The following is an 11,706-nucleotide window of genomic DNA, read 5'->3' as shown; positions in this document are numbered from 1 at the left end:
ACACATTTACTATGTATGGCCTCCAACACAGCCATATAAAAAGTCTCGGCATCTTGGTTAGACATGTATATACTTTCTACACAATTACAATTGTGTGTAACATAATTTAGCTTTTGAGAGTACATTTAAAAAAATTCAATAAGTATGAGTAAGACTGTATAGGATTCAGCACTAATTCAGGTAAATCAGTGCCTAATTTAGGTACAATAGTAAAAATTAAAAATGAGTAATCCAGCTTGTAGTGATACTTCTATTTCATCCTTTTATACTATGATCACCCAGGGCTGCTTTTTTTGGTGGTGAAATTTTAAAGCAAGCTCACCTCAATACCCAGGTATCTCCTGATATAAAGACAATCAAATACAAAAACATGCTAAATACTATCAGTGTGATTAATAGCTTAGTTTATTAGCTGTTTTAATAAAAGACAACTTTATAGTGAAAATAATATACTGGAAGTAGCTTTTTTTTTTTTTGGAGATGGAGTCTTGCTCTGTTGCCAGGCTGGAGTGCAGTGGTGTGATCTCAGCTCACTGCAACCTCTGCCTCCTGGGTTCAAGCGATTCTCCTGCCTCAGCCTCCCAAGTAGCTGGGACCACAGGCTCACACCACCATGCCCAGAATTTTTGTATTTTTAGTAGAGACAGGGTTTCACCATGTTAGCCAGGATGGTCTCAATCTCTTGACCTTGTGATCTGCCTGCCTTGGCCTCCCAAAGTGCTGGGATTACAAGCATGAGCCACCATGCCCAGCTGGTAGTAGCTTTTAAAAAGCATTTTTAATGATATGCTTACAAAATGACAGATGTAGGTGAAAAAAAAAATCCTCAGTAATGACAATATAATGAACCAGTCTCCTGGGAGCAAAGCTGAACACTACAGAGATAGACTGGCTGCTTAAAGTCAAATTAGCTTCTTAATACCATGGAGATCCTACTTGGAAATTGTACCAAGGTGGTTTCTAAGTATCACTGGTCTTATTTTAATAATGCAAAAATTTCACCTTATCAGCTATTTTAAAGTTTCTGAGAAAAATTCCTTTGGTTCTAATGGCATTGACTCTAGTACTACCTCCCCTTTCTGATGGACCTTCCTTCTCAAGGAAAGACTTATTGTATCACCCCACGTAAAATCATACAGTTCTTTTATCCAGGAATTGTCATGGAGGAAGTTGTCATCTTCCTCACTAGTAAAAGGCTCCTTCCAGGAATTTTGGGGAAATCTTGATGTTCATTCTGAGAAACCACACTGAGGGTAAGTAAATTCAGGGGCCCACGATACCAGTATGTTTTATGTTGTTGTGGGAATTTTCTTGGTCATTTTGTCAGCTGGGGACCTCTGGCTAGCAACGCCCCTACCTGGGCCTTGCTGGGGCACGCTACCTGCTGTAGGAGACACCCCCGACTCAGCCCACCCAGGCTGGCTCTGGCTTGTGCACTGGCTCAGCCCCTGGCCGGACTGGGTGTGGTGCCCTAGGCTGCCTGTGTTATAGCTTGTATCTGCATTCAGGAGTTCCTGAGCTCTTGTCCCGCATCCAAGAAGGAGGAGAAGATACGCAGACAACTGAAGGGTGAGGAGGGTGGAGAAGAATTTTATTGAACAATGGAACAGCTCTCAGCAGAGAGGGAATGTGGGGGTGGTCCCCTATCCCCACAATCAGGTGGTTTCTTTCTCAGTGTGGCTGAGTCCGGGGCTTTTATGGGCTCAGAATAGGGGAGTGCATGCTGATTGGTTTGTGAGTATGCAAAGAAAGGCTGAAGCAAGGGCACCACTCAAAGGTGGGCACAGCAGTGTGGAAGACCAATTATGAGATGGTAGGGATTAATCAGAGGAAAGCATGCCAAATGTGAAGACTGGTTCTCAATCCGGTCCATGGATTTGACTTGTAGCTTGATTTTCAGGCTTTAAACTGTCTTTAGCTTTGGAGTTGGGGTTTCACTGGGGACCCGCCCCATCTGCCTAGGCATTTGACTACCTCCTGTCACTCCCAATGTCCCTTTAAGAATATGTAAAGTTCAGCTATAAGATGTCCAGAAATCAGATGCAAATCTAGAACAGGTAAGGATACTAGTAATGTGTAAACTAAAGATTGAATTCCCAAACACAGTAAGTTGTGTCAAAAGTGACCTGGGTCACAGTATTGATAATTTTTAGATAAGAAATTGGTTTGGGTTGCATGAACAGAGGTTGAAAGGCATAAAAGAGAGGCTGAAGAATAACTCATATTAACTATCTGAAAATGGTACAAATGGCCAGCCCTTAATCAGTAGGAATATCTACATCAATGCCATCACCTCTGAGCTATCAGTGATTGTTCCATGTGATACCTCTTAATGGAAATCAAATGTAGAACCCCAATAGGAAGACTAGCAAGCATTTTAAACCACGATTCCACATAGCTTTGTAGTTGCCAAAGGTGTTATTTTGGGAAACCTCATGAATAGCCAGAGTCATAGAGTGGTTAATGTAGCTATCAAAGGCATTTGCTCAAAATATGACCCATTTCCAGTCCAACTCTTTTACTAAATAAAACACAACCAACTGGGTTTGAACCATCGTAATTACAGTTCACATCAGGTTGGGATCAGGTTTCATTTAGGATTTTATCTCTGGGTACCTTGCCAGGATCTCCTGGCACCAATTAATATGGGCTGTGGGTATAGACCCTATAGAAGTCTTCTTTGTGACATGGTTCCCTATGAGAGTGGTGGCTCACGGCTTCCGATTAGATGTTGTTTCAATGCATCATGAGTTCTATTAAATATAAGCATGCATTTTCATATCCAATTGTACTCGAGATGTTCAATGTCCCTGTACACAGCTGAGCTGATGATGCCAAGATGGGCTTTAGTAAAAGGTGTTAGAACCGTTGCTGAAGTTCTGGATTTTGTGCAGTGGTTCCATCTTCTACTTTGACACCTACAAAACCCCTAAGGCACGGAAATTTAGGAAGTAAAGGCCAGGTCACATTCCTTTAGCTGCTGAATCAAATGTGTAATGCCATTACAGTACAAAAAACCTGTAAGTGTTCCAAAATGTGCCCCAATACAGAATTTTCCAGCCTTGGGAACAGAAAGGAGAAAGATGCCTGCTGAGTACATTTGTTTTTCTTTGTGAGTTTCATATGGGGAAAATCACTAAATTATTTTGCCTGTTCTCCCTAATGATGATAATTTCAGAAAGCCCTAAAATAAACAGAGCTTCCCATTTACTGGCTCCAGGTGATGTTTGATCCTCATGGGTGCTGGCTCAGGCTAAGTGTGGTGGCAACAGCATGGATCTTTGTGTAAAACACATTTGTGTGCTCTGATCAAGGTCTTTATACAAGCTCTACTGGGCATTTACAAACACATTTTTGGCTACATTTCATTCCAAAAAGAGATTTTGGCCAGGTGCAGGTAGCTCACACCTGTATTCCCAGCAATCTGGGAGACCAAGGTGGAAGGATGGCTTGAACTCAGGAATTCAAGACCAGCCTGAGCAACATAGTGAGACCTTGTCTCTACTAAAAAAAAAAAAAGAAAATTAGTGGGGTGTGGTGCATATTTGTAGTCCCAGCTACTCAGGAAGCTGAGGCAGGAAGATCACTTGAGCCTGAGAGATGGAGGCTGCAGTGAGCTATGGTCTTGCCGCTGCACTCCAGCCTGGGTGACAGAGTGAGACCTTGTCACAAAAACAAAAAGCAAACACCAAAAGTAACCCCAAAGAGATTTTATGTGACTGCAGCTTTAAATTATACTTAGTAGTGAAATGAACTATACTCTTGCAGCTAAATACCTGATTGAAACACCTCTTTCAATTATCTGAGTAAACTATAGAATACAAATGAAAGTTATTCCTATGAAAATACCTGGAGGGCAAAGAAAAGAAAATCAAACTATATTCCCAAATAAATATTTTAAAGGGAAATAAGTTGACCAACCTCTGAAGGTCAGACAACGTTTGCTAGCTGTAATCCTGTTCCTCACGACGCTGCAGTTGGGCCACAACATTGTTTTTGTTTCCTGCGTCAGCACTGTCAGAATGTTCCTCATGGGCTGAGGATTTTATCTTGTTCCGATGACAGAAGGATTCCCACAGAGACCCAAATGACTAGTGTGTTAATCTGCTAGGGTTACCATAACAAAGTACAGAGACTGTAACAAGCACAGAGACTTTAAACAACAGAATGTATTGTTTCACATTCTAAAGGCTAGAAGTCCAAGATCAAGGTGTCAGCAGGTTTGGTTTCTTCTGAGGCCTCTCCTTGGCTTGTAGACAGCCACCTTCTCCCTGGGTCTTCACATGATCTTCCCTCTGTGTGTCTCCCAAAACAATAGAATATACATTCTTCTTATCTGCATATGGCACATATTATAAAATCAACCACACAATTGTCCGTAAAACATTTCTCAACTAATTCAAAGAACCCGAAATCATACCAAACATACTCTCAGACCACAGCATAATAAAAGTAGAAATTAATACTAAGAAAATCATTCAAAATCATACAATTACATGGTAATCAAATAACCTGCTCCTGAATGACTTTTGGGTAAACAATGAAATTAGGGCAGAAATCAAGACGTTCTTTGAAATGAATAAGAACAAGATATAACATAACAGAATCTCTGTGACACAGCTAAAGCAGTGTTAAGAGGAAAGTTTATAGCACTAAATACCCACATCAAAAAGTTAGAAATATATCAAATTAACAACCAAACAATGTGCCTAGAGGAACTATAGAAACAAATGCAAATCAACCCCAAAACTAGATAGAAAACAAGAAATAACCAAAATCAGAGCTGAACTAAAGGAAATTGAAATGCAAAAAACCATGCAAAAGATCAACAAATCCAGGAGTTTGTTCTTTGAGAGAAAAAATAAGATGGATAGACCACTAGCTAGACTAATAAAAAGATCCAAATAAACACAATCAGAAATGACAAAGGGGACATTACCACTGACTCCCCAGAAATACAAAAAACCCTCAGAGACTACTACAAACACCTCTATGCCTGCAAACTAGAAAACCTAGAAGAAATGTACAAATTCCTGGAAACATACAATCTCCCAAGATTGAACCAGGGAGAAATTTAATCCCTGAACAGACCAATAATGACTTCTGAAATGGAATCACTAACCAAAAACCTACCAACCAGAAAAAGTCTAGGACCAGACAATTCACAGCTGAATTCTACCAGTTGTATAACAAAGAGCTGATATCATTCCTACTGAAACTATTCCAAAACATTGAGAAGGAGGGACTCCTCCCTAACTCATTCTATGAGGCCAGAATGATCCTGATACCAAAACCTGGCAGAGACAAAATTTAAAGAAGCCTTAAGGCCAATATCCTTGATGAACATAGATGCAAAAAATCCTCAGTAAAATACTAGGAAATCATATCCAGCAGTGCATCAAAAAGCTAATTCACCACAATCAAGTAGGCTTTATTCCTGGAATGCAAGGTTGGTTCAACATACTCACATCAATAATTGTGATTCACTATATAAACAGAACTAAAACAAAAAACCATATAATCATCTCAATGCAGAAAAGACTTTTGATAAAATTCAATATCTGTTCACGTTAACCCTCAACACACTAGGCATTGAAGGAACATACTTCAAAATAATAGCATCTATGACAAACCCATGGCCAACATCATACTGAATGTACAAAAACTGGAAGCATTCCCCTTGAGAACCAGAATAAGATGAGGATGCCCACTCTCACCACTCCTATTCAACATTGTATTGGAAATCCTAGCCAGACCAATCAGTCAAGAGAAAGAAATAAAAGGCATTCAAGCAGGAAGAGAAATCAAACTATCTCTCTTTGTAGATGATTTTATACCTAGAAAACCCCATAAACTCTGCCCCAAAGCTCCTAGAACTGATAAACAACTTCAGCAAAGTTTCAAGATACAAAATCATTGTACGGAAATTAGTAGCATTTCTACACACCATTAACGTCCAAGCTGAGAGTCAAATCAAGAACACAATCCCATTCACCATAGTCACAGACAAAAAATAAAATACCCAGGAATAGAGCTAACCAAGCAGGTGAAAGATCTCTACAATGACAATTACAAAACACTGCTCAAAGAAATCAAAGATGACACAAACAAATCAATAGGAAGAATCAATAGTGTTAAAATGCCCATACTGCCCAAAGCAGTCTACAGATTCAGTGCTATTACTATCAAACTATCACTGACATTTTTCACAGAATTAGAAAAAAACTATTTTAAAATACATATGGAACCAAAAAGCAGTTCAGATAGCCAAGGCAATCCTAAGCAAAAAGAACAAAGCTGGAGGCATAACGTTTACCTGACTTCAAACTATACAAGGCTACAGTAACAAAAGCAGCATGGGACTGGTACAAAAACAGGCATATAGACCAATGGAACAGAATAGAGAGCCCAGAAATAAAGCCACACACCTACAACCATCTGATCTTTGACAAAGTTGACAAAAACAAGCAATGGGGAAAGAACTTCCTATTCAATAAATGGTGCTGAGATAACTAGCTAGTCATATGCAGAAGACTGAAGCTGGATCCCTTCCTTGTACCATATCCAAAAATCAATGCAAGATGGATTAAAGACTTAAATGTAAAACCTAAAGCTATAAAAACCCTAGAAGATAACCTAGGAAATATCATTCTGGACATATGAACTGGCAAAAATTTCATGATGAAGATGCCAAAAATTGCAACAAAAGCAAAAATTGACAAATGGAACCTAATTAAACTAAAGAGCTTCTGCACAGCAAAAGAAACTATCAACAGAGTAAACAGATGACCTACAGAATGGGAGAAAATTTTTCAAACTGTGCATCTGACAAAGGCCTAATATTCAGAATCTATAAGGAACTTAAATTAACAAGCAAAAAACAACCCCATTAAAAAGTGGGCAAAGGACATGAGCAGACACTTCTCAAAAGAAGACATACACGTGACTAACAAGCATATGAAAAAAAGCTCAGTATCGCTAATCATCAGAGAAATGCAAATCAAAGCCACAATGAGATACCATCTCACACCAGTCAGAATGATTATTACTAAAAAGTCAAGAACAGATGCTGGCGAGGTTGTGGAGAAAAAGGAATGCCTATACACTGTTGGTGGGAGTGTAAATCATTCACCATTGTGGAAGACAGTGTGGCAATTTCTCAAAGACCTAAAAACAGAACTGCCATTTGACCCAGCAATCCCATCACTGGGTATATACCCAAAGGAATAGAAATCATTCTATCGTAAAGTTACATACACATGTCTGTTCATTGCTTAACTATTCACAATAGCAAAGACATGGAATCAACCTAAATGCCATCTATGGTAGACTGGATGAAGAAAATGTGGTACATACACACCATGGAACACTGTGGAGCCATTAAAAAGAATGAAATTCTATCCTTTGCAGGGACATGGGTGGGGCTGGAAGCCATAATCCCAAGCGAACTGACGAAGGAACAGAAAATCAAATACTGCAAGTTCTCACTTATAAGTGGGAGCTAAACATTGAGTACACATGGACACAAAGAAGGGAACAATAGACAACGGGGCTTACTGGAGGATAGGGGTTGGGAGAAGGGAGAGGATCAAAAAACTACACTGGGCAGGGCACGGTGGCTCACGCCTGTAATCCCAGCACTTTGGGAGGCCAAGAGGTTAGGAGTTCGAGATCAGCCTGGCCAATGTGGCGTAACCCTGTCTCTACTAAAAATACAAAAATTAGCCAGGTGTGGCGGCTCATGCCTTTCGTCCCAGCTACTTGGGAGGCTGAGGCAGGAGAATCGCTTGACCCTGGGAGGCGGAGGTTGCAGTGAGCGGAGACTGAGCCATTGCACTCTAGCCTGGGTGACAGAGCAAGACTCTGTCTCAAAAAAAAAAAAAAAAAATTACCTATTGGGTACCATGCTTATTACCTAGGTGACAAAATAATCTGTACACCAAACCCCTCTGACATGCAATTTACCCATATAACAAGCCTGCACATGTACCCCAACCCTAAAATGAAAGAACAAGAAGAAAATTTAGAACATTTTACAAGTATGACACTTTCATAAAGGAATAATATTGCCACATGCTCAGCAATTAGATTGTTCTTGCTATTGCTATATTGCACATCTGCAATATCAAATAATGCTTGCTTTTAATGGTACATTAAAGAAATAAAATTAATTCTCTGTGCAGGGCACAAAATAGTATTTTAACTAGCATGTATTTTAGATGTACCTAGGTACCGAGGCTTCAAAGCCTGGGCAGATCTGCAAGCCCTTTCAGCAGTCTCTAATTGCTGAAAATAGCATTCTACAACAAACATATCTACATGCTCTTTGTTTAAAATTTAAGCTCCTTATAGATTCAAAAGTATAAGGAATTATCTTAAAGTATTCTTAAGTCTATTGTTTTGAATCTGATTAGTAAAAACAAAATGTGTTTTGGGTATCTAATTTTTCTCTATCACATTCCTAATTTCTTATGTTTTACACGCTTTATGTCTGAATCAAAGGTGATTTATCATAAATAATTAGTACAGAATGTGTTGGACTTTTTAAATACATCAGGTCTCGCTCTGTGGCCCAGGCTATAGTGCAGAGGCACGATCATAGCTCACTGTAGCCTGAACTCCTGGGCTCAAGCCATCCTCTTGCCTCAGCCTCCCAAGAAGCTAGGACTACAGGCACACCACTGTGCCCAACGAACTTTTTATTTTTTGTTTTTATAGATGTAGCGTCTCACCATGCTGCCCAGGCTGGTCTCAAACTCCTGGCCTCAAGTGAGCCTCCCATCTCAGCCTCCCACCTCAGCATCCCAAAGTGTTGGGATTACAGGCATGAGCCACCATGCCTGGCCCAAGTATTTGGTTTTGAAGTTTGCCTTCTTAAGAAATTTTGAGAGCCCAGAATCCGAACCACATATTACAGAAATTTCTTGCAGACTCAGGTTTGGGAGTCTAAAGTTTGTTTTTACAGTCATAGGCTTTTAAGGCTAGGCCTGAATTTTTTTTCCCTGGTAGCAATACAATCCAAAATTAACGATGAGCTATTTTACATTCGTTTCATACCAAGTCTTTGAAATCTGGTGTTGATTTTACTCTTAGAGTACGTTGAGATTCAAGCTAGCCACAGTTCTGGTGCTCAATCACCACCTGAATTGGATGGCGTAGTTCTGGACATAATTCTCAAACTTGCCTTCTTTGTTTCCTTCCTCACACTCAAGGGTTTCTTTTTCAACTGAATGAGAGCTACCTTGTGAACAACATTCTAATCAGATCCTTGCTGCAGTGCTGAATCCCTCTGAGTAATTAAGAAACTGATGGATTGTTTAAACTCCTATCCCCAACTTTTATGCTCTATTTCCTTGTCTCTGTTTTCAAACCAGGCGTTTTTGTCTGTGCCCAGTTCTGTGTAATATCTGCTAAATGCTGCAAATCAAAACTGACACACACTAACAGTCTGGCTAGCCACCCATTTTCCTTAGAACTACGGGGTCATGCAGGTCTACCTTCCAAGTTACCACATGTGACAGTTTTACCTAACGATTTGCCACATGTTGGTTTGGCCAACAGAAATCTATTTTCTTGCAGCTTGCCACTGCCAAGCTATGGTCACTTTTGGGGTTTTATTATGGCAGCAACACACTTCAAAATATCAATCTCTGATTAAGGATAATCCTAGCTTCTGTAACAAAATAAACCCTCCAAATTTCCATGGTTTTCCACAATTGGAGTTTATTTTCTGCCCATCAAACAATCCAGTTGGTGGTGATCGGGTTCCTTCTGTCTCATGGATCTTGCAACCCTCTGCATCCAGCCAGTGGACAGGGAAAAAGAGTGTAAGGGAAGTTTGAGGGCTCATTAAAAAAGCATTGGCCTGAACTTGCACACATCACCTGTGCTCACATTTCATTAGTTAGATGCGGTCCTCTGGTCACACAAACCACAAGCAGGGCTGGGAAATATAATTTATATGCCCAGGAAAAAAAGGAGAGTGCGAATTTTGTTGAGCAGCACATATTCCTACCATAGTTTTTTTTTTTTTTTTTTTTTTGAGACGGAGTCTCACTCTGTCGCCCAGGCTGGAGTGCAGTGGTGGTGCGATCTTGGCTCACTGTAAGCTCTGCCTCTTGGATTCACGCCATTCTCCTGCCTCAGCTTCCTGAGTAGCTGGGACTACAGGCACCCGCCACTACGCCCGGCTAATTTTGTATTTTTTTTAGTAGAGACGGGGTTTCACCACATTAACCAGAATGGTCTTGGTCTCCTGACCTTGTGATCCACCCGTCTTGGCCTCCCAAAATGTTGGGATTACAGCTGTGAGCCACCACGCCCAGCCCCTACCATAGTTTTTATTAATATTAATATATGAGTGGGATTGGCCTGTAACTTTCCTTTTTAAAAAACATTCCTTGTCTGATGTTTGATATGAAGGTTAAACTCGGTTACGCTAGTTACAAAAAGATATAAATTTGGGAGTATTTCTCCTTTTACCTTCTTGGAAGTGTTCGGGTAAGACTGAAATTTATTCCTGAAATGATGAGTAGATTTTTCCATTAAAGTTGTATGACTGCTTCTTTGTGGAAAGATTTTTAACTGTCGATTCAGTTTGTTAAGGAGTTATGAGATGATTCAGGTTTTTTATTTCTTTTCATTTTGGTAGACTTCACTTTTTAAGGAAATTGATCCATTTCAACTAAATTTTCAAATTTAGCAAACTTGTTTATAATATAGTCCCCGTATCTTTTTTATTTCTGCATTGGCAGTTATGTTCCCTTTTTTGTTTCTAATATTATCTACCTTTCTTAGGAAGTTACTTGAGGATGTTTTCCAGCAAATCCAGAGGGTAAGTCAGGAAAGAGGAAAACATGGAAATCATAGATTTCAACTCTAGAAGGCAGGGCAGGAAAGTTCTGAGAGACAGTTGTGTGGGAGACTCTGAAAGTCCCAGCTCACAAGGCAGAAGACAACCAGAGGTAGAATGAGAGTATGATTACAAGGTTGGGAAAGAATTGATAATATAAAAACAAATAATTAAAGAAAGAAAGGAAAGGAAATTTAAGGGAAAAAACTACACAAGAAACATATAAGCCAATATAAAATGTGGCATTTTTAAAGGAGCCTTATAAGGTGGCATTTTAAGGAGCTGATGGGATGTCAAAATAGAGAATATGTTTGTCCTTGACACTAGAGATACTCTCTTTAAAGTGGTCTAATGTTGTGAAATTGAATCCATAGAGAAATAAATGTAATTCCAACACATTATGCAGCCCAGCATGGAATAATATTTGCATAGTCACAGTAATAAAATCTTTTCTATTGGTTTTAAATTTCAGAGTGATCATATGAGTGGAAAACATTTAGTTGAAGGACAGAGGCAAAATTTAATAAGCCTTGAAAATATAAAAACATGAACACACAGCCATCATCATAACATAGATCTTTATACATATAGTCAATTATTTCCTTAGAATAAATTCCTGGGGGCCGGATGGCTGCAAGTCTGGGTGCTCATTTATAATTAATATTTGGCTAAATCAGCATCCAGAAGAGTGTAGCAGGTAAAACTCTCCTGGTACGTTTCCCTGCTCCCATCTGCTTCCATTCCTCCAGGAAATCCTCAGTGTTCCTGGCCCACTTATGGTATCCTTCTTCATTTTCCATTCCTGCTACAGGTATTTCCCCCTATATTGATATTTATTGGATCACTTCAAAAGA

The 11,706-nt window shown here is 39.5% G+C and overlaps 1 pseudogene; it reads right to left on the bottom strand.

Annotated features, from left to right (window-relative positions):
• LOC100131127 (delta 4-desaturase, sphingolipid 1 pseudogene) lies at positions 1,990-2,732 on the bottom strand (annotated as a pseudogene).

Source organism: Homo sapiens, chromosome 8, assembly GCF_000001405.40.
Source record: "Homo sapiens chromosome 8, GRCh38.p14 Primary Assembly".
Classification (NCBI taxonomy): domain Eukaryota; kingdom Metazoa; phylum Chordata; class Mammalia; order Primates; family Hominidae; genus Homo; species Homo sapiens.
The sequence above is the reverse complement of the archived record's forward strand: the minus strand, read 5'-3'. Positions and strand labels throughout refer to the sequence as shown.